This window comes from Homo sapiens, chromosome 18, assembly GCF_000001405.40.
Source record: "Homo sapiens chromosome 18, GRCh38.p14 Primary Assembly".
In the NCBI taxonomy this organism is placed as follows: domain Eukaryota; kingdom Metazoa; phylum Chordata; class Mammalia; order Primates; family Hominidae; genus Homo; species Homo sapiens.
In genome coordinates this window covers 24,923,631-24,947,994 of record NC_000018.10, presented here as the reverse complement: position 1 = coordinate 24,947,994, position 24,364 = coordinate 24,923,631, and the positions used below count along the sequence as shown (strand labels likewise).

At 41.6% G+C, this 24,364-nt stretch overlaps 1 long non-coding RNA gene across 1 annotated transcript in view, besides 1 other annotated feature; it reads left to right on the top strand.

The window, feature by feature from the left end:
* The window catches only part of LINC01894 (long intergenic non-protein coding RNA 1894), a 55,206-nt gene extending 39,985 nt beyond the window's left edge, over positions 1–15,221 (top strand). The window contains exon 2 of the long non-coding RNA NR_146903.1: positions 14,348–15,221. This is a non-coding gene — a long non-coding RNA (long intergenic non-protein coding RNA 1894). The remainder of the gene's footprint in view (positions 1–14,347) is intronic.
* Positions 23,410–24,095: an enhancer, noted in NCBI's record as "OCT4-NANOG hESC enhancer chr18:22503864-22504549 (GRCh37/hg19 assembly coordinates)". NCBI's record gives its function as "activates a minimal SCP1, AML or CMV promoter by ChIP-STARR-seq in naive H9 embryonic stem cells {active_cell/tissue: H9 hESC(naive)}" and the evidence as "EXISTENCE:reporter gene assay evidence [ECO:0000049][PMID:30033119]".

The following is a 24,364-nucleotide window of genomic DNA, read 5'->3' as shown; positions in this document are numbered from 1 at the left end:
AGGTTGCAAAACAATATGGTTTGTGGTAAGGAGGTCAATTTGCAGCTGAAATTCTAAATCTGCATAAATGCAAGAAAAATCCTTTTTCTCTAGAAAACTGGAATATTGAAATACTCTTCTGCTATTGCACCCAGAAATTAATTATAAATGATAATTACAATGGAGGCTGCCTTTTTAAAAAATTCTCTGAAACATATCCAAGAATCACAACCGGGTGCGCACCAATATCCTAAGTCTCTTACACAATCTCTCCTTTCTCCCCCAGATGTTGCCTCCTGCTGTGCAATCTTCACATCCAAAGAGGCACTAAGAAGCAAAACATCTGGGATGCTCTATTATAGAAGTTAGTGCTTAGAGGAAAAGAGGGTTAAAATAACTAATGTCTCTTTCTGTCAGTCCATGAAGCCAATTTTACTTTTCCGATGTTTGCCAGTAAGCACAATGTTCTGTAAATGCGACATATTTTAAAAGTCTCCTGGCCTGTATCTTTCATGCTTATCAATGGGTTCATTGGAACTCACAGTTATGTTTTGTTTTGTGTGTGATGTTTATCTGTTTGCATGTGCAGATATGTATGTGTGTGTTTCTGTGCATATATGCTGTGCTGGTGGCAGTAAATATACTTGTAATGGTAAGAGAATGTGAAACTCAATTAGCCTGTTCTCAGAAATAAAGAAATAAGAAATTGGTTGAGATTAATATCTCCCATCACAAACACAGTGGGAAAGTTGGTTCTCATCGCTCCTGACAGCAGAGTGCCAATGGAACCATTAGGCACCATGCCACCTCTCTTCTCATGGTACCACATATAATTATGTGATGAGGTGTGGAGTCTACATTTTCAAACAAAAGAGAGATGGCCTCTGGATAGATTTAGCAAGACCATGGTCTTTCTACGTAAAAGACGCTGCGGACAAGGACACCTGAATATATTTTCTGTCTTGTATCCCAACATCCTTGCTTTTACCCAATTCTGTTTCATGTTAGAATAAAATAATTGTGGTTTTAGATTAGTTGAACATGAATCAGAGTAAAGAAAGAGACAGGGCCCTATTCAGTTTCAATTCAGTTACAGAATTTGGTATATCTCTTAGTTTTAGGCCTACTGATAGCTGCTTAGAGAGTCACTTCTGTTCGGGCAAAAAATGCCCCTGTCAGAATGTATTTATGAGGTTACTCTGACTGCATAAACCCCTTCAACTTTGCTCAATGATGCTATCAAAGCTCTCAACGGAGTTTGAGTTTTAATTATTTACTATTTATGTATTTTGTAAACTCCTCAGAGAAAGTGATGCTATAACAGCTCAGTATTATTATTAACGTTATTATATGCATATGCACTGCCACTTATTTTTGAAGAGTAAATATTTGTGCTAATTATATCAGTGTCATCCACTGTGCTAATTATATCAATATCAACATGTTGATATTAATATAATTAATTAGCACAAAGATTTACTCTTCAAAAATACATGGCAGCGTCTCTGATTCATTTGCCGTGAGGGGAGCATGAGGGGAGCACGGTTCTGCAGCACTGTATTTAGGCTCTGATATGCAATCAGCTTTAATAATTACCTAATACTGTAGGTGGCCTTAGACAAGTAAAATGGTTTTTTCCAGGTTTCCTGGGAATTGGATGCTGAGATGAAAAGCATATGAGTAGCTTTCTTCCAGCATTCTTCTTGGTGATTAACCAACTATCCAAGTACAAAGTTGCTCCTAATTAACCCTGAGGACCCCAATATAAAGGTAGGTGGAATGAATTAAAGTGTTTAAAAAAGAGAAAAAATAATTCTTCTGAATTAACTGTTATCGTTAAACAATATCTGGCTTGTTATATTTTAATTAAAAAAAAAACTACCCAGCAATAAGAATCAGAAAGGGGATGTAAAAAACATCTGAGTCATGAACAACGAGAGCAGTGAGCAGAATTTAATTTGTGGCTACTCATTATGTAATAAGCTCCTGGTAATTGTATTAATGACAATGACATTATGATAATAGTTTACGTTTATTGATTTCACTCTAAAACAGACATAGTGCTAAGTGTTTTTTATGTACTATTTTATCTAACACTCACAACTCTCTGAAGCACACTTACTATGATTGTTTCATAGATGAGAAAACTGAGGCACAAGAAGAGTAACATCTGCTCCAGCCGCACGGCTGATGCATGAGAGGGCCTAGTCTACACCCAGGTCTTAGCCTCACCATGCTCTGAGGCCTTCCCAATGGATGTGTCCAAGGTACACAAGAAGAGGTGGCCCAGGAACACTTGAGAGATGGTCCTATCCACTTACTTTATTAGGGTAGAATAGGAAAGGTGCCTTGAACATACTTCATCCCAAGAAACTGTACTGGGGCTGCCTAGAAAGAAGCGTCAAACTCAACAATGTCTTGACCAGGAAGTTAGCAGAAGGAAGGCTTAAGTACAGCTGATGCGATTTCTCCCAGATTCATAAGCTGATACCTGGAAAGCAGTACTTTTTTGAAACAGGTATCAGGAGGTAATGAAAATGGCAAAGCTCCAAAATTTTATTCACAAAGTATTGGTGATATGTCAATACAGAAAAAGAGATTTCTTGAGTCCAGTCTTTGAGATACCATAGTTCTGACACAAATGGGAAAACTGAACCTCAGAATCTGGTAACAGGCCAAGGCTGAATGTCCCCAGAGGAGCAAATAAAAGCAGTTGGAGCTTGGGGCCGCCACTTGCATGTTCTTTCTGCCATACCACTTGGCCTCTTCTTGCTCTCCTCTGCGGGGTTAGTCCGATGGCATGAAAGTCTCCCCAAATTTATGAGTAAACTTCAGATATGCTCTTATGTTCTTGAATCAAATAATTAAAAGAAATAAATTAGCCTGGGCAACATAGCGAGACCCTGTCTCTACAAGAAAATAAAAGCTGGGCATGGTGGCATGTGTCTGTAGTCCCAGCTACTTAGGAGGCTGAGGCAGGAGGAATGCTTGCCCCTGGGAGGTTGAGGCTGCAGTGAGCCGTGATTGCATTGCTGCACTCCAGCTGGGGCAACAGAGTGAGACCCTGTCTCAAAAAAAAAATTAAATTTAATTTAAAAAAAAAAGAAAGAAATTACGAATTCCATTTAAAAGCAAGACTCATTACTCTCACCATTTATTCATCTCTTTGGCCTCGTTTTCTAAGTCTTTGAATGGTCCATCTGCTACCTTAGAAATCTCCCTAAGTGGGGGAAAAAAAAGAAAAAGAAATACACTAATACACATGGTTCATGTAAACAGGTCCCTACCTTTGTTCTGGATGCCACTTTTTGCTTTTCCTCATTTTTGAGTATTGCCTATTGTCATTTCAGCTAACTTTGATGAGTGTTGGATAGATAGCAGAGACACACAGAGGCAGGAGAGAGAAAGACAGGGAGAGAAAGGCCATTGAGGAGCAGCTTTCAGCTTCTACAGAGTTTCTCATCCAGGAGCGCTGTTCTGCTTTTTGAGAATTTCTTGTTCACGTCCCCTTTCACTGTTTTCCCAGGCTAGTAGTAAAGTCTTGGTGCTTGATGCCTTTAAATGTGGGTAATGAACCTTCTCTAGACATTTAATGACTTCTACCTCACCATGACACAGTTCTTTTCTTCTCACATGGCCCAGTCTCAGAGTGGCCTTAGTTTTCTCTTCTCAGTTCCTGGCACTTGACATTTCATATTGGTAGTGTCCTCTCTCCCACCGTTCCCTCCTCCTTCTGCCTAAAGCCTTCTTTGTCACCCTGTCCAGTGTGTGGCATTAGAGAGCACCCCTACCAGGCCTGCCCTGGCCTCTCCACCTCCCTCAACCCCCTTCTCATTTTTCTCTACTTCCTTATGTATGCCTTCCTATGTTTAGAGGACACTGCCTTCAAAGGGTGCTCGTAAGTATTATAACACATTTAATATGTGTTTTTATTTCTTTCCCCATGGAGTTAACAGCATTCGTGGTCATCGTCCGAGTCCACACTTAAAAGTGCTTTTCATCTTCAAAGAGCTCCAGAACTAGGTGAGGCTCTGGAGGTGGGCCTGACTACCAGGCTCCTCTGGTCAGGCAGCTAAATGCATTAATTAAGCATCATGTGCTTTGTTTCAGGAGAGGGTCACTGACAGATTTATCACTTCCTTTGATTCACTTTCACCAGTTTTTCCTTCTTTTTTCTTCAAAAGCTATAGTCTGCGATGGACCTTTTTCGGGGGGGGTGGGGCAGGGTACTTCAAAGACATACATTCTTCTGGTGGAATATACTGTTTCATGCCTCAGACTCCTACGACGCCCTTTGCTTCAGTCCTATAGGGAAGCCATTCAGAGCCTTCATGAACCCAACATTGGCGTTTTCTTTTCACATCTTTCTTGTCCCTGAATTTCTCTGGAACAAATTCAGCTCTTCCCCTGCCCTGTTTCTGTAGAAACTCTCACTTACACTTTTCCTCCTTCTGTTTATCCCAGTTTCAAGCCTTCTCCTCCTTCTTGCAGCAGGTTCTGGACTTCTGATTGGAATCTTGGATTCAAGAAAATATCCTTTAGAAGGCAACACCAAGCGCCCTTTGACCTTCAGTGGCTTGGCACCACCAACCACTTCCTCATCATGTATCTTCTGTCTCTGCCTTGTGTAGAGAATGGTCCTCTCCCTCCCTTCCTTGCCTCTTCTCTTTTCTTTTTTTCTTTTTCTTCTCCTTCTCTGCATTTTTCCTTCCTCTTTCTTTTCCTCCCTTTCTCTGCTTTTTCTTCCCTTGCCTTCCTCCTTTCCTTCCAAAGGTGGGGTTCTTTCAAGTTAAGTAAGTTTTTTCACAGCCAGAAAATGGTCAGACCAGGATTTGAACACCAAACAGAGAGACTCAAAGGCCTTTCCTTTTCTAATTTTGAAAGGAACTGATACATTAATTATGACATGAATCACTGATAAACAATTGAACATGATACATATTCCCAGAGAAAATCACAGCACCTTTCTAGGCCTCATTTTCCTCGTAGGTAAAGCAGAAGGGGTTAGTTCAAGCTAATAGGAACTTCCAGTTTCATTCAAACCTATAGGCATCATAATTAAATGTGAGCCTCAGTGTCTTCATTTTAGTACAAGGATATAAACTGCCTCCTAAGTTTTGAGTGATAATTAAATTAGAGAATGTACATAAGACCCTGCATGGTTTATTCAAACATAACAAGAATAGGATAAGAGGTAGTTGCCATTAAGTACTGTGAAACTTAAAGCTAAGCACTGTGCTAGGTACTTAAACCTTCAACACTTCATTTAGACTAGCAAGAGAGAAGGGGCTACTCACAGCTTTATTTATATTCTAATAACTAATATCTCTTAACCCCCTAAAATATTCTTATAACATGCCTTGTAGCATAAGTAACTGAAGGCAAAGAGGATATTTTGGGGCCAGAATCTTCCCATGCCTCACAAATAATGCTTATAGATAGTTACCAAAGGGACCCTGCTCATAATATCCTTTACTGGAAAAACATCCAAGGTTGGAGCATTTCCACAAATAGGACCAGGAAAATTCCCATGGTGCCGAGGCACTTGTTTCCAGGGGGTTAGTGGGTCAACTGCGGCTCCCTATTCCCAGTGGAAAAGTGCAAGTTATCCCACAGGCCACAGGGCCAAAGGAGAGTTGATGTGGTGTGTGGGAAAGAACACAGGGTTGGATGGGGAGACCTGGATTCTCTTCCCCGGCCCCGCCCCAGCCTGGTGGGATCCTGGGTAAATCATTCCACCTGCCTGGAGAGATGAGTCATTCACAGTCTCATTGTGCACCAGAATCACCTGGGAAATTACAAATAAATACCAATGCCTGGGCTTCTCCCCAGAGTTTCTGATTCAATTACTCTCAAGTGGGGCATCAGCATTTTTCAGAAGCGTACCAGGTGATTCTAACATGCAGCCAGAGTGGAAATCATTTGGTTACACAATAGTTCCATCCTCTTCTAGGTTAGTCTGTTATTCTGTACATAGGCTTGAACACTAAACCTGGGCCGAGATGCTCTGTTGTAATGGAATGTTCTTTTTCATAAACCACTTGCCATCTTTTCTTTTTTGGTGGAAGAATGGTATTGATTTGTGCATCTGACAAATCACTATCATGTGCCTACTATGTGCAAGGTGCTTGGAGATGCCAGCCAACAGCTTGATGCATGCAGGCACAATTGCCTCGAAGAGCAAAAGTCTCTCCTCATCAAATTCCCTTTATCCTCTGGGAGATGGTCAGAAGCTCAGAGCACTTTTCCATCTGGAAAAGTCACTGGGGAGATCGCCTTTGCTGCTGTAGCAGATGAGGAACTTGGCTGACCTCCCTCTCTACTGATAAATGCCCAGAGACTGGGTGAGAACCATCTTTCTTTGCATCCCCCGGCTTTACGCTTTCCATTCCCAGTCACCCCACATTTCCAGAGGTGATGGGAGCCACAATCAGAGAACCAAGGCAAAGTTAGGCTTGGTTTTGGGGTTGACTCCAGAGAGAGGAAAATCCACTCTTAGGTACTCAAAAGATTTGCATCTGAAGAAGAGATAATGTGGTATTTTTCAGAGATGTTTAAACTAAACTAATTCCTCCTAAATCCAAATATTTATTCATAGCCCATCTCTTTCCAGAAAAGATTTAAGGCAAAGGATCAAAATTTGGCTAGACACCAAAGTAGATCTCCTCTAGCGGAAGCCAGGCTGATGAGCAGTCCTCATATCTTTCTAGAATGGCAGCCCTCCTGTTTCCATCTGTTAAATGTCTGTGTACCTTTCCAGACTCTGCTTATGGTGCTAATTTTCCCTCATCTTTCCATCTTCACATAGCCGGGCATTATTGAGGACTGTTGAACATTGTGGAGGGAGAACTACTTACATTCTGGGAACCAGAAATAGGAGGGTGTGATAAAATAAAAAACACAAACAACTTAAGACACGAAATCAATGAATGGGGGCTGGGGGTGGCCTCAGAAAACCTTCTAGTCCTTGTACCTCAGGGAAAACAGGCCCTCTTTGGTAAACCAAGTTTCATGGATAGTAAGACATTTCAAACAGTATTTTCACCCGAAAGCAAACACAGATATATTACTAAGTAAAATGTAGAAGCCACACAAATTATTAAGACAGACAAATTCCAATATATTGAGTGCATTTCTCACTTGCACAAGGTCACTTATTGCCACATCTCCAAGCTTCTACTCTAAACATCATCCATTCCACTCTCCTACGAGGGGCACTTTGGTGAACTATGGAGAGCAATGGACAAATCAAATGACTTTATTTTACAAATGAGGAGTCTGAAATCTGGAGAAGTTTTGTGAGTTGCTCAAACACACGTGGCTAGTCAGTAGCAAAGCTAGGGCTAGGATGTGCATCTTCGTCTCATACCCTCATGCTCTGCTGGTGCATAGGGGAATATCACTGGGGAAAGCCTAGGGGAAAATATTTTTCACTCTCACCTTGAATGGGAGTGTTGAAATTGCAGTCAGGAAGCGTGCACTTGAGCCCGGCTCTGTTACCTACAAGTTCTGTGGTGCTGAGCTTGCTCTTACCCTTGCAGGCCTCTGTTCTGGCCCTGGCACCAACAGGTGAAGACGTACAGGATCTATCTCTAAGGCCCCTTCTTGCATGGTCACTCTAGTGCTCAGCATTTTCCTGGGTTTAATTGCCTCCCATGGTATCACTTCTAAAAGTGACCGGTCTGGTGCTGATTTGAATAACAAAGTCAATACTGATTTGACTTCCCTGTGGCTGGCAAAGTGTGGGAGATTCTAGCATCATCAACCCTTCCATGCATGTTGGTCTTATTTCACTCGCTGAATCAATCACTCCCGAGAGCAAAATCCATGGCGTGTACTCTTTTTCATCCCCGATTGGAGTAATGGATATTTGTTCCACAAACCAATTCTTGGCCTTGCTGACCCTCTAGGGGACATACAATGAGGAGCCACAAGGAGTGCCCGTTTATCCATTCAGTTGTGAATACAGAAGTATTTCAATCCTGGTACACCGAAATCACTTTGGCTTCAGGTTGAGGACTAAGTTATTTGGAGGCATTTATCTGGAAAAGAATGAGGGAGATGGCTAAAACTTAAGACATTTTAAGAAAAGGATGCTTTATATTTGAAAGGCTAGGCCATTTTTAGGAAAACACCCCCAAAATATTATATTTTCCATGCTAAGTAATGCCAAATTCTGTGCTTTTGTGTGTGTGTGTACATATATATATATATATATATATATGTACACACACACACTACATATAAACATATGTAATTTTATATATTAAATTTATTATATATTATATTATATATTCTGTTTGGTGTTATATATTATATATAATTATATATTTCTAAGTAATATATATTACTTAGAAATTTATATGTGTATAAATTTACATGTATATAAATTTACATGCACATAAATTTACATGTATATAAATTTACATGTATATAAATTTATATGTATATAAATTTACATGTATATAAATTTATATGTATATAAATTTACATGTATATAAATTTATATGTATATAAATTTACATGTATATAAATTTATATGTATATAAATTTACATGTATATAAATTTATATGTATATAAATTTACATGTATATAAATTTATATGTATATAAATTTACATGTATATAAATTTATATGTATATAAATTTACATGTATATAAATTTACATGTATATAAATTTACATGTATATAAATTTACATGTATATAAATTTATATGTATATAAATTTACATGTATATAAATTTATATGTATATAAATTTCTAATATATTGTATATACTCTATACCTATATATTATAATGTATATACTCTATACTATATATTATAATGTATATGCTGTACACCTATATATTATAATGTATATGCTGTACACCTATATATTATAATGTATATGCTGTACACCTATATATTATAATGTATATGCTATATATTATAATGTATATACTATATATTATAATGTATATACTATATACCTATATATTAGAAGTATATATAGTACTATATAGGTATATATAGACACATATATAGTACTATATAGGTATATATATACATAGACACACCTATATAGTACTTAGAAATATATATACTTCTTAGAAAAAGAAAGTGCCATCTCCACCCACATTATTAAAATTATATATATAAATTTCTAATATAAATTTATATAGAGAAATATATATTACTTAGAAATATATGTATATATATTACTTAGAAATATATGTATATATATATTACTTAGAAATATATGTGTATATATATATTACTTAGAAATATATGTATACATATATTTCTTAGAAAAAGTGCCATCTCCACCCATAAGCAAATAAGTAATGTCTTCCATTGAATTTTTCTAAAGTCCCAGGAAAATTCTTTGAAAAAAACTTAAAATAATCAATAAAGAAAAAGCTCTGCTCCTGTTGTAAATCTGATCCAAGTCTTGTTATAATGTTTTCCCACTGACGTTGTTCTGCAGAGATCCTTCCTATAAGCCTCAGTTGCTTTTTTTTCCTTCCCTTTTTGGTGGATCAGGAATAAAATTGTTCATCTGGCATTTGGCACAGTCTTCCTACGAAAGATCGAAGGAGGAAGGGGCATGCTAAATGTATTCCTTTCAAGCAGTAGAAATGCTTCACTTTGTATTTCTGCTCTTTTACCTCAAGGCCACTGGCACGGAGGGTCCAATTGGAAGCAGCAGCTTTCAGTGTGGGAGGAAGTGCATCTCATGCCGCTGTGAACCCCTCCTCTCTCAACCTTAGATTTTGAGCTCATTGCATGCAGCAATGTGTGATGTCTCCAAATCTTTTCACTTGGCCAGGCCAGTCCTGAACTGATCTCACCATCTTTTGAGTTGAGAAGAAAAGACCTCCATGGTTTCCTGATACTGTGCCCTCTGGAACTCTCAAGCTCCTCTGTGTCCTGACAGAATGTTCTCTGACTGCAGAAAGTGCCTATTTAGCCTCTTCTCTCTGTATGTCTGCAGAGGTTTGGCCCATTCTTTACCTCCTGAGCACAAGCTTTGCATTCAGGAAAGAAATGAACCACTCTCCAGACAAGGACAGGCTTAGCATGATAACTGTCCCCGAAGGGTCAGAAAACACAGCCAGGGTAAAGAACTGCTAAGGAAACACCATTGCAAGGGAGGAAAGGGCACCCGCTTTCACGATGTGCAAACCTTCTTGGCTGAGTCAGCTGACAGGGCTTTTGGCCAATGCCAGATGAAGGGGAGTTTTATAACAGTGACTCCTGGCAACTACAAAACAGGCTGAGCTTGTCAGTTCACTGCACTGACACTAAACTTCAGGCAAGAGAATCATAGCTTTGGGTCTTTATGGCTGCCTCGCCAATACCGTTGATGGAGAAGGAGGCCCCCATAACATGGAGCAGCAGGTCGGCTAATCGATGGTGTACATCATCCCCAAATCATTTCCGTTCAGTGTTGGAGTGCCCGGCCACAATTTCAGTGGAACATGTCAGGATTCTGGAGGTCCACTCTGTTTTAGACTAAATAACAAAGTCGGGTTTTGAATAACTTCAGGAGAGTCTAGCGTGCTGGTCACACTTCTGATCCTGGTCTCTGTTCAAATCAGCCCCTTGCGGGCTTCCAGGACAGAGTCAGCAGCCTCAGAGCATGCACCTGGTGCCCTCTCTCTGACGGGTTCGTGGCTCCCTGAGGCATGGAGCCTATTAGGAATCTTAGCTTAAAAGTTCTCCTTTCCAGCCTCCTTCTGAGTCAGGTTAACAAGGGTTTCATTAACCTCAGCAAATGGGTTAATTAAATTTGGTTAATTAGATTTGGTTTAAAAAATGGGTAAATTAAACTGATTTTCCCAGAAGCTGTTCCTTCATACCAGATCTTGGAATTTAGAAGCCACTATCTGTGAGCCTCCATCAAGGTACAAAATGGGGTTTCCACCAAAGCGGACATGGGTCCTAAATGTGACTCCATCAATTTGCCAAGTGGGTACTTGAGGAGTAATGGGTCAAAATGACCTAACAGTCTCTGGGCCTATATGCATTGCTTTCTGGGCAGCCCTTGGAAAATGTACCCTTATATGTATTTTATCATGTCACTTGCAGGACTGTTTATCTGAAATAAGAACCTGTTTCAAAACAGGGCTGCTCCCAAATGTTACCTTAGCCACTGGCTCACACCATTGCTCAGCAAGAGGCTTGCTTACCCCCAGACCTGCCCAACCTTCTCAGAACAGGCTGCTGCAGCTCCTGCGTGCCAAGTTGAAGCTCACGTTTTAAGCCACACTAATTGGAAGTGAACATCTTATAAATAATCCATGCTCACAATCTTTGACGTGCATATACATTCAGCAAATCAAACCCAACAGATTAAATTCAGAGTGGCTCAACAGGAAGGCCAGTGGTATCTGTGACCTTTCAGTGCCCAGACAAAGGGGTGCAGATATACACTGGGACAGTATTCTCTTTGCCTTCTTCAATGATATTTCCTGTCCTGGGTGGTTGTATTCTAATAGGATTTGTAGAATTCAGGTGGTTTCTTTCTCTCTCTACCTCCCTCCTTCGCTCCCTTCCGTCCTTCCTTCCTGCAATCCTTCCTTCCTGCCTTCTTGTTTCCTGTCTCTTTATTTATCTGGAAAAAGTGAACAGGATGATAAAAACAGAACTTGCCTTTTATGTGCTGGGGGGCAGGGGTGCAAGGCAGGTCTGAGTAATTGGAACAAATCAACTTAAGTGAAAATTTCTGAAGCTGTATTTCATTTGAGTGTTTGACATTTTCAGAAGAAAGCTGTTATTATGTTGCTTGGAAAAATAATTGGTGGTTTGGAGCCACACAGATGTACAGTACCCCCTGAAAATAGATGCATTTTCTGAGAGTGATAGGAAACGTGGTGATTCTTAGGACCCATTCCCCAAATTCCTTTTATACTTACTATGTCTCTTGCATCTGTTCTTTCCAAGCCACAGGAGCTTAGCACAGTTCTGCAGTGCTGTTCAGGGAGTGGGGTGGAGGAGCTGGAGCTGAATTTTCCATATTCATGCCCTCAAATAGACCCTCAGAGGTCCCCTGTGGGAGGGAAAGAGAAACTCAAGCCCAGTACAATAACATACACTTCTGGGGTCTCCATGCTCCTCAAATCTATTTTTAAAAGCATGCTTTAGTAAATTATATATAACATATAACACATCATGAATGTATGTGTACAAAATGATGAAGTGGAATCACTTCGGGTTGCGAATGTCATTCAGTTTTTTTCCTCATCTAAGTTCACATCCAGGGTGAGCTACATAATCTCACTTTAAGAGAGTGCCATCCTCCAATGTCTGGATTACTGCTGCCTGTCTCCCCATGGGCATTTATGCAGAACCATGGCATGGGCTGGTGGGTGCACTGGAGGCCACCAGATTAGTTTAACAAATGTTTCATCTGCATTCCTTGGCATTGAGGAGACCTGGACATGCAGAAACCACCTTTGTCAACCTGTTCTACCTCAACCATATCATCACCATGAATCCATGGGTTCAATTTCTCCACTCATAGTCTTGAGGGTGAGGAATGTGTGGGACAGGTTGAAATTGAATTTTCCAAAGCCACGCTGGAGTTCATAGCAAAACAACTTGGAAGGTGTTAGATGTGATGCCTGCCTCTCCAGCATCCCATAGGAAAGAAAGTGACTGTCTCTCCTAGGTCACTGCATTTATTGCATCTTCCTGAAGGTCTGGCAGCTTCAGGAAGCAGGATCTGCCTTTGCACATGGCTACCACTCCAATAAGAGCTTTTGGTTATTTGAGAGCAGCTATATCGAATGGCGTTACAGGGGTTCATTCATCCAATTCTCCTTGGCCAGCCCACAGCAGCAACCCAACTCCATAGTGACTCATCCGAGCCAGGGGAACAGAAATAAGGGAGTCAAGTGAGATTTTTCGTGCTTGGACATTTGTGAGGAACTGATGGAAAAGGCTTCCCAAAACTGAAGTCTTTCAGGACTAGTTGGTGAGTCCTGGAAGAATCTTTAAACCCCCTCAAAACCTAAAACCTCCTAAGCAGAGTCCAGACTGAAAAATCAGCCTCAACTGATAGAAATACTGGAGAGGAAGAGGGCATCTCTGTCATCCCTTCTTGAACAAATTAGTTCAAGGAAGATGAAGAAAAGGGCTGCAAAGTAGAGGAGGAACCTGGCCAGAGTGATGATGGGTTCACCCACAGTGTGCCGAGTGGCAGCACCATTCCTGGTGCATACAGCCTTTCGCTATTGGAACAGCCAGAAACCACACAGGTTATGCTTAACTAACCACGAGGCACAGAAATAAATCAGACAAACCAAGCAGGCAGTAATGCTGAACTCAACAAGGCTATTGACATTTGTCTGCAAGCCTCTAGATAACAAAATACTATAAGGCGAGATCATGAAGTAAAAGAAAATGTATGCATTTTGAAACCAAATTAAATACTCTGGCTAAGTTCCAGAGCATTTTCTTAAATTCCTCTTTTTTGAAGGAGAGAGGACTAAATTTCATTAGCTAAAATCTTTTAAAGCGTCATTTAAATTCAGCTTTTGGAAATGAAGACTTTGCCTTTTAACGACCAATCTGCATTTCATCACAAAGATGGAACATGACATCCTTGGCTTGGTTATTCTCCTGAGGAGTAGGCCCCTGTTTGTATAGCACACTTAGAATAGAGACAAAGACTACAACAAATTTATCTCTGGCACAAGGGAGTGGATTCATATAAATGCAGCGAGGTAGATTCTACTCCAAGTGGTTCAAATACCCTTTAGCAAAATTTTTGAAGTAATCCCATTGTTCTATTGTTTTCTATTACAATTTTAAAAATAGGACAAGTCACAAATATAAGAAATATTTTAGAGTGACTGAAAAAATTTATTAACAGTTTTGACAATGTAGGCCCAGTAGGTCAGAAGTATTGTGTTAGGAGCAGATAGGTCAGAGGCAAGTTCAAATGCTTACACGATGAGCAATGAGAAAGAATTTGGTACTGCATGTGGCTATAAATTCAGAACACAGCACCTTTAACACTAGAATAAAATATTTTATGCTAGTATAAATAAGATTTACAAATACTGTATCATAAATTATGGTAAATAATAAATAATAAATTAGTATAAGTAATATAAATAAAGAATATTATATAACAAATGTATACTATTGTATAACAAATTTGTATAAGAAATTGATAATTGAGAATTTATTATAAATTATTATAAACAATTTATTGTAAGTTTATTATAAATATTACTAATTTATAACAAATAAATTAGAAAATAGTAATTTACTAATTTATTATAAAATTATAAACTAGGATTTACTAACGTATTTATTATTTCAATATAATTAAGTAATATTTATGGCCTAATTTTGATATGCATTTTTTTTCAAGTTGCAAATGAAAGAAGTCCTGCTACTCTAAAGAATAACTAAACCAGACTGGAGTCACTGAAACTGATGGAAGAACATCTCAGGCATGAGTGCCATGGTGACGTCATCAGCTCCGTTCACAACCACTCACCATGAGGCCATTGCTCCTGTGGAGGACACTGGCTTAGGACTCATGAAGTAGTACCTCAGGAAGGTGTCTCTGTAAGTGTTCCTTCCACCAGCTCCAAGACACAATGAGATGGAGAGAACTGGAACAATTCCCTATGATTGCAGCTGGATATTTTCACATGAACTATCTAGTAATGAAGGCAATGGCATGTGGTGTGGCAAAGACTGGCCCCAGATTACATTTCCAGTCCTTTTGTACTGAGGAGGGGCTTTGGGACCAAGACAGTAGGAGTGAGGGTACAGGTTCCACATTCTATTTCTCTCTTAGTTTTCTGTGGTTATCTTGGTGACTGCATGGTAAAGATGGAGGTGACAAAAGATGGAAGGAGCCTGGATCCCTGAATGACTTCATGGTGCAGAGCCTTACACTACCCCCAACTCATACTAAAACAGGGGTGGGAGGAACAATAGACCATTATTCTGTTAAGGTGCTGAAATTGTAGAGCTGTTAATTTGAACAGTTAGAGTTTCTTATACTGATACAGTATCCTTACCCTGGATTGTTGAAATAATTAGTCCAAATAGTTTCTTTGCCTAAAACTGTGGACAGAGCCTAAGCAATATTGAATCCAAGACAAGGTATATTTATCATCAAATGCTACTCACTATACAATACAGATGAATGTGGCACTTACTTCCCGTGTTGTTACCCAGCCTGCTTCTAGTATTCTTTACACAAAATAACATTCATGAGCAACCTGGGCACAAGAGGTCTCTGTCAAAATAAGTCTTTGATTTCTCTCCAGATAAACTCGTGTGTGTGTGTGTGTGTGTGTGTGTGTGTGTGCATGTCCATTTTATATTTGGTTTTAGTTACAATTCAAGGAGTCTTTCCTTTTAGACAATGGTCCATACATTCATGGAAGGCAGAACTAATCAGAGAACCTGGTTCAAAAGTTTTAGGGGATTCTTTGAGAAATGTTTCCCAGAATTTAAACTTGGGACTTGACTATAAGTATTAGTGTACAAAATCACAGAGGATATCAAAGCAAGATTCTTCCTGTTCTCCCAGAAAAAAAAATATATTCTTGGAAAATTATTTTCCTAGACTGTCAAGCTCAGAGATGGACAGTTGGCCAATGAAGGCCTCATCTACAGCAAGAATGAAGAATCTGAGCCTCAGCAGTGAAAACACTGCCTACTACTTCACTACCACCCTTTGGACTAAAACCAGAACAAACTTGCATTTAAACCATTAAAAATGCCACACACATTAAATTCTGTGCCTGGGCCAGGCAGCTCCCAAGGCAGATGGTGTGTAGTGTTGGAAAACTTGGTATTATTTAAATGAAACAAGCATTCCATTGCTCTCGATCACACTGAACAATGAAGATTTCACACCCAGCGATTCTATCATCAGTGGAGCTCTCTCTGTCTCCATTTGCAGCATTGGACAGATAAATAAATATTCTTTAGATCAAGTTAACTGCCTGATGTTTCTTAGAGAGACAGAAACTCTAATGATCAAGTTGATGTAGCAGTGGGTCATTATCATCTTCCTCTGAGACCCACTGTTTGAGGGAGAAGTGTGCAGTATGCTGCAATATGACTTTAAGAAAGTATTAACATGCCTAAGATGACTTGAAATTGCCAGTCTTCTGGGCTGTTGTGGGGGACATTGGAAGGAATCAATGAACATTTCCAGGAGATTACAGAGATCACAGGGGAAATTGTTTAGTTAGAACTGTGTACACAAAGCTGACTTTAGACACCTGCAAAAATCAGAATCATTGAAAAAAAAGAGAGAGAGAGAAAGGAAAAGATAAAAGAAAGCCAAGATGCTGTGTCCCATTCCAAGTAATACTGCTCTCCCCTTCCAATGCTTCCATACCATTCTCCAAACCTGAAGCTCCCTGGAGCCAGGTTCCATCACTAATGGGGCATCTCAGTTCCGACTAGATCATACTGGGTTGCCTGATTTGCTGGAGAACCTCAGTGAGGAGCTGCAAGTGACTTGGTTTCTGTGCTTAAGAAACAGCAGACTACAAGGCAAAGAGCATGGCAGAAGGGATCAACTCAGCTTTTGTCTCTAAAACCATCCCCATGTCTTTTGGGGATAAAGCCTGACTTTTATTCCTCCCTTGATAATCTGTCCTTTACCTCTTGGGATTTGGCATTAAGCCACTCCATAGCTTTGCTAATTCTTGGGAGGAAGGCATTTATCAGGACAAAAGAGGAACCTGCACTCTCAAAGGCTTACAGGGGCAGTCATCACGTTTGTTTGCTATCTACTCTGAAAACAATGACGTCTGGATCGCATGGGCAGAAGTCACAGGGGCCTACAAGAACCAGGCTGTGACAGCCGGGAAGCTAATGTGTGTTACCACGGAATCCACCAAGGGGAAAAACTTTGAAACATTTTAAAAATGCAGGTGCACAAATTACTCATGCCAGGAGCGGCAGTGGCACTTTGTAATAAAATCTTATGTTTATTTTCCACTGTTGAATACACATACCTTAGTGTTCCCAGAGAGGGAAGCCTACAATGCTATCCAATGAATAGTTTGCAGATGGATTAAATACATGTACCAATGAAATAAAACGTGCAGATTTGGGGCTTTTTGCCTCCTACCTTTGCTCTGGGCCCAGAGCTCCCCGATGATGACACGGGAGGTTTGTGCAAAGATCTGAAGTCAAGAAGGATTAGTTTAAAGAGTCAGATGAAAAAGGACACAAATGAAAATGCTTCTGCATGAGCCTGAAAACCAACACTTAGCAATGAGTGATTCTGACTTTGGGGCCTGTAACAAATAATAGCAAATGAGGGAAGTTTCCAGTGGCTTCACAGCAGGAGGGCAATGGCCAGGGAACCACTGTGAAACAGATCAGTCAACGGGACTTCCTGGTTCTTGAGGAAGCTTTGAAGGCAGGGAGTGTGGCATACATGTAAGGGTCTTTGTTGCTAATATTTTTTTTTGAGGCATATACTTTGCAGGGGCAAATCTTCAAGTTGCCACTTCCTGAGAACTCCCTCATTTTAGTGAATATATATTTCAAGCCCAGTAGTTGAATAGCACTATTATTGGCACTGTGCAGGAACACCAAAATGTGCAAGACAGGGACTTGAACTCACTGGAGTAATGATCTAGTGGCATTCACAAACCACATCGTGTGCAGCAGAATTCTATGAGATATTCAGACAATAAAGTGCATAGAGAGAAGGAAGAGGTCCCTCTGGCTAAGGCGATGGAAGAGATTATGAAGGGAGAGCAGGCTAGACTCTGGCCTGCAGGTAAGTAAGATGCATGAACCAATGCTTACGGAGAGGAAAGAAGAGTTGAGTTTAGGAAGGACAAGAGGACCTCTGCCGTTGCTATGCAGGCTTTGGTTTAGAGAGGAGAAGACAAGAATCTTAGAAATGCATTGAGTGTGCTGCTCTGTGGGCTCAGGAGCATAACCCAGGCTTTCCACGAGCTCTTCATTCCATACACTGCCATCTAGACACTGGGGCTTCTCATGTGCTAGGTCCTGCCAGCTTTCCCTGGGAGCCCCTCAGACCGCTACTTGAACTGGTAACGAAAAATTGAGAAGATGTGTTGACTACACACCACAAACACACACACACACACACACACACGTGCTAAACTGGCCACTCCCCTACTGACACCACCATCAGTATGTCTGGGGCTCGGCTGCCAAGGGAGTTGACCTCCTTGAGGACAGCAGAGTCCAGCCCTCTGTGCAGGGAGTTAAGCTTCTGGTGTGCCTATTTTCGTAGGGAAGAAGAAAAGAGAGGGCACAAAACGAATCTCTATCCCTGTCGAAATCCTAACAAAGGCCGGGCACGGTGGCTTGTGCCTGTAATCCCAGCACTTTGGGAAGCTGAGGCAGGCAGATCACCTGAGGTCAGGAGTTAAAGACCAGCCTGGCCAACATGGTGAAACCCCGTCTCTACTAAAAATAGAAAATTAGCCGGGGGTGGTGGTGGGAGCCTGTAATACCAGCTACTTGGGAGGCTGAGGCAGGAGAATCACTTGAATCTGGGAGGTGGAGGTTGCAGTAGCCAAGACCACGCCATTGCACTTCAGCCTGGGCGACAAGAGCAAAACTCCATCTAAAAAAAAAGAGCAAAAAACAAACAAACAAACAAACAAACAAATCCCAAAAAGACTGCACAGTGGCTGGCTTTTCTCCAGCCTGGTGACAGAATTTGCATCTGCCACAAACAGGAACCAATCTCCTGTCTATCCTAAGCTCTCATGTTTGGATTCTATTGGCCCTCCTCAGAGGTGGATGGAGGCGGCACCAAACATCGTCTAGTGGGGCACTACGTATAAGATGGTGTGGTGCTGGGAGGAGAGGACCCCTCACTGTCCCCTCACTGTCTCCTAGCAGGGACAAAGGCGAGAGCAGGGGCACAGAGCAGAATCCCAAGAGTGATTTTCTCCCTCCACCAAGCCCCCCTCACCTGTGCATGCTCCTCCCAGCCCACTCCACATCACATAATTGGCATGTGAAGATTGATCAGCAGTGGTGTGCGGCCTGCTCAACAGACGGATCAGCTGTGGCATGTGTTCAGCTGGGCAAACCTAGCACGAAGATGTTTCTGTCGGTGTGCAGGGGACAGCCGTCCATCAACAGCCATCTTGTTTTGTTTATTTGTTTAAGCAACCACAGATGCGAGAGAGAAAGAGACAGAGAGAGAGAGAGAGCAAGTGAGTGAGGAGAATATTTCCACCCCCCCTCTCCCCTACAGATCTGTCCCGAGGCTTCGAATCTTCTTTCCCACTCTAAGCACTCTGGGCCACATTCGATTCTATTTTTGTGCCCCTCTTCAACTGCAATGAGGCTTGCTTTGGCATCTGAGCTACCACCTGCCGTCTGCTCTTTAGTTCCTGTTTGCTGTAAATCTCGCTTTGGGTCTTGGGTATCTTCACAGCTAGTTCTGCAGAAGAGAAAGGAGCATTTTGGTCTTGAGGTAACTCCCAGTCGGTCTCCAGCTTCCTCCAGATGGAACTCTGCCCTGCTGTAGCCTCTGTGAAGACCAGCTGCCTCTGGCTTTAGCATTTTCCTGCAGCTAACAGGCATCAGCCCGGAGAACAATTGTCTTGGAGGAGAGAGGGAGAGTCTGGGCTGAAAACTGCCATGCAGGGATGGGAGCCATTTTTAAAGCCCTCCTGAATGTTCAGTTGTGAAATCAACATCCTGATTGTTGTGGAGCTTCAAGCAGGTGAAAACATAAGATGAAAGGAAATGAAGTGACTGCTGACAGGCTGGAGAGCATGACTTAATCAGCAGCTAAAATCAATGAGTCGAAGGCTGCTGCCCCCAGCAAAAATCAATGGGGGAAAAGGACTGCTGGCCAAGATCTCTCCTACATTTTTATTTGCCCCAAGACCACCCAAGACTTTCCTATCCTGCTCGTGCCCTGCCTAAAATGCTAATTTAGGCTGTGACTTGATAGGCCCTTGAAAATTTCCTGGAAATCTAGCCTCCTACCCTGAATTAATAAGTTGTAAGGAACAACCTCAAATCTCGAAGGATTAATCCAATAAAAGTTAATTTCTCCTGCATGCTGAGACCAATAAAGATATTTCTCTTCTGGCAGCTTTCCTGGTGGCTCTCCTTCAAGCCGTGACATGGGGATCTAGGCTTCTCCCATCTTGAGATGTCTCCAACTTTAATCGAGGGCCTCTCCGGTGGCTGTAGAAGCAGAAGAGAGTATGGGGAAGGCACATTAGGTAGTTAACCATCTTGCCTGAAAGTGACACCTGCCACTTCTGTTCACATTCCATTGGCCTGCATTCGCCAGTTGGTCCCACGAAGATGTGAGGAGTCAGGAAAATAAAAACCCTGGCTGGATATCCTTGGACTCCACATAGTTGGCTCTACCATATTCCCCTAAATAATACTCACATCCCCTGACAAACAACACTCAGAATCCTAAAACCACCAAGTGGAAAAAAATTGCTACATTCCCACCTACTTTGAATCTCCTCTTTACGGCTTAGAAACCCAACCGTCACTGACATTTGCCCATTGACATTTTCCATGTAGCCTGTTAGACCATTTCTTCCCTCTTAGCATCTTCTACAGAACTTCCATAGACCTGTTTTCCTTTGTCTTTGTACTTTCTGGTTGTTTTCTAGAACTTCTCCAGTTTCTCTGCATGTAGTGTTGGTTCTTGTCCTTAAGGTAAATAAGTTGTTACTGGACCACATCCTATTGTGGGCAGATTTAAGGTCTAATTTAAATAGACTTGGGAGATTAGAGGTATAGGTGATATTAAAATGATTATTATTTTTAAATTTATTCTGGTCTTCTAGAACTTCCAGGGCACCAGCAGCTCTTCCCATATTATTCCATCTGAAATCTCAGGTTATCAAATAGCACACGGCCCAGCCAAGGCACAATATACATGGGACAGTGTCTAGCTCAGATCTCACCTGTGACCTTCCTCTACAGATATATTTATTGAATTTAAAGATGCTGGGATGCCAAGGGGTTATTATAGAAGTATGAGGTTGTATTCCTCTAGGGAGAAGCTCCAGCCTTCTTACCTATTCAACGAATCATCTTTAGACTCCCACTTCCCATGCATATTATTTTCTTTATAAGTAACCTAAAACAGAATCATCCCCTATTTAAGAACTGATAGCATCAGCAAGGCCACACTCCTTTGATGTTTAGGGGCTTTCCCAAGCTGAAAATGCCCTGCTCATAAATCATTCAATCATTCACTGAGGAAATGTTTACTGATCACTGCTGTGTGCACTGTTGTAGGCACCAAGGAAATGAAGGCAGATAAACATGGTCTTTGATATCAAAGAGGTCATAGTCTCATTCAGAAGATAGAAATGGAGACAAACAGCTCTAATACATATAAGCCCTATCTTTTGCCTTGCTCAAGATACCAGGGTGGTGCAAAATAAAAAATAACTGAACTCTGTGTAGAAGGAATAAGGTTAGGAAAAATTTTGCTTCGTGGAGAATATGATGCTTAAATTGAGTATTGTGATATGAGACAGAATCTTCTCTATAAATAAGAAGGCGATATAGAAAGAACAATCTAGTCTACAAGAATAACATTTGCAAAGAAATAAAGGCATAACTTCGTAGTGCGTGATGAAAAAATTCTCAATGAGGTTAAGAATTTAGAGAGGATATGTGGATGCAAGGAGGGGAAGAGTGAAAAGTGGCAAAAGCAGTTTAGGTAGAAAGATAGATACAGAATCATGATTGCCATGGCTTAGGATCTAACGAGGCTTCAGCAGGAGATAAGGAAGAAAAGCTGCTTTTCTGAGTATTTCTTGCTGTGAAGAGGAAGCCCAGCAGTGCTGCCCTCCAGACAGTGCTCCACAGTCAGGCCATTCTGCTCTCTGGCTGTACCTCCATAGCTATCGTCCCCAAAGCCCCTTCCTGCTCTGTGCCTTTGCAAACGTCTGTGAAACCTTCTGCATATCCCAAACTTGCCTACTCTTTCTCAAACACCCCGTTCTGCACCAGTTGCCTTCAGGGCAGCTTCAGTGGCCCTGCACCCAAACTCTCAGTTGATGTGGAATTGGCCCCAAGCCATTTGGCCCTGAGTAATCACTCATATAAGGACTTTCCTCTCCCCACCTAAGATCGTGCATTGTGTGATGGAGTGGAGTGGAGTTATCATCCACAAATTGTGTCTCCCACCACACTCAGTAGAGTGCAGGCCACATAGAAATTATAAAATACAGACTTAGTGATTAGTCGAAAGGGAATGTTGCTAAGGTTATCTTAGGCTCACCTACATTAGAATTAGCTTCTGTAGTTCTTAGAATGCAGATATGGGAGGCCCAGTCCAAGATCTACTAACTCAGATATCGGGCGGGGTGATCTGCAGATTTAATAAGTGCCCTAAGTGGTTTTTATGAACATGGAAATTTGAGAATCAGTGACCTAGATGGGGGTTGGTAAACTCTTTCTGTAAAGGGCCAGAGAGTAAATAACGTAGGCTTTGTGGGCCAGATATGGTCTGTAGTGCATATCCTTCTTCTTTTCAATTCTTTAAAAATATAAAAGCATTCTTCGTTTTGGGCTGTACAAAAGCAGGCCACAGGCTAGATTTGGCCCATGAGCCATAGTTTGTGAACCTCTGGCCAAGATGAGGGGTTCCTCATCTCCTCTAGAGGCTTCAGAGACATGTGAAATCCAGTGGCTTCAGGTGTGGACAGTCTAGAGAGAAATCTCCACTTCGGTTCTTTGCAGGGAGCAGGGCCCATTTGCCCTACAACTTTCCCTTGTGCCCTGGCATTATAGGAATGTGCCCAGGCTTCTTGGCGGATGTCCTCTAGTCTGGCCAGCACCATAGGACAGTTCTCTCTGCCAGTTCCTGGAGCCCGCACCCTGTGGCTCGCCTACATCGGGCCCTAAACACAACCTCTCTCCATGTTATTACATTAATACAGGCAAGGGAGTTCCTAAAACCAGAATGGGACTGCAGTTCCCAAACCCCCTACCTCCTCCTGACCTGCATGGTTAGGTGCTGCCTTTCTGCAGGAGCCTGGATGTCAGCATCTAGATGCCTCAGGACCAGCTGTCCAATCCCCCTTCCACCAATCCCTGTTTTAGGTCCTCCATGAACTTTTTCTTAGGGGAAAGCAGAAATCCTATCCCATCCTGCTGCACTCACAGGAAGAGTTTGACAGTGGTTAAGAGATCATTCTCCTCATTCAGCACCTCGGTGAGGTGTGAATTTGCACAAGATGATTCAATATATTTTCTTTGTGTATTCTTCAGTATATTCATGCTGTCCGGTGAATTTTTGACATTTCGGTGTGCTGCTCTAAGCTGCCCGTGTTGGGGACCTGATCCTGACCCTGACTATGGCTTTTAAGCAAGGAGAGCCAGAATAAACCCAGACAAATAGTCCTTTGCAGTGTGCACTGGTGCCCAGGTAGCCCTTGGTTATCTGCTGTGTTCAGTCCTCCGGAGGGAGTGATGAAAAGGGCAGTCGGCCCTCCTTCCAAGATAGCTTGTAAGCAGTCCTGCCTTGAGGCTGAGGGTAGACGAGATGACCCCTCCAGTCCCATCCAGTCTTGGTATCCTGTGATTTCTCACGTGAGTCCATTTTGTGCCCTGGGCTCACGTACATCAATTAAAAACACAACAGTGTATGCTTCCACAGGAGGGAGGAAAATGAACCATAGCAGTCTTCCTATCCGAACCAGACCCCATTTTTCCAAGTCACCACCTTACTCTCATCTGTAAAGCGCTAAATAGCCTGAGACCCAGTTATCTTTGTGACAATCTCTCCCCAGGTGCCCCATCACGGTAATTACGCTCAGCGGGGAGCCTGGAGCTGCCCATCTCTGGAGTTAAACTCATTAAGACAGGAGACTGAGAAATCTCCGCAGAGGGTCCCTGCCCCTGAAATCATGGGCATTCCTCTTCCTTGGCTACCAGTTTTGGGGTTTGGAGGAGTCTGGGGTCTGGTCTGAGGCTCCACATTGCCACAGAGCTTGCTTTAACCTGGATTTGCTGTTGTGATTTGTACTTTGGGGAAGATACTTACTATGGGAGTCTGCAAAGAGAACAGGTTCCATTTCATGAAATGAAATGAGGATTGAAACAAAGCCATGGAGGTTGCTTATTCCAAATATTGAACATGATGAACAAGTTGATTTGTCAATATTTCTCAAAAAACTTAAAAAGAGCTTTTTCTCTGACAGTGCAAATGACAAGATATTTTTCCCTCTGTGCTGTAAAAAGAGTAAGTTTCAAGAACTTTGTAGGGTAGAGATCCCAGGGATGGGAAGAGGGAGGATTCCTGATCAGTAGGATTGGTATGGGTGATAAGGGGGGACACTCCCTTCTAATTAATTAGTGAAAAGAAAAGGAAGTTTCTGGAGGGAAAACAGTAAGAGTCAAGATATAGAAG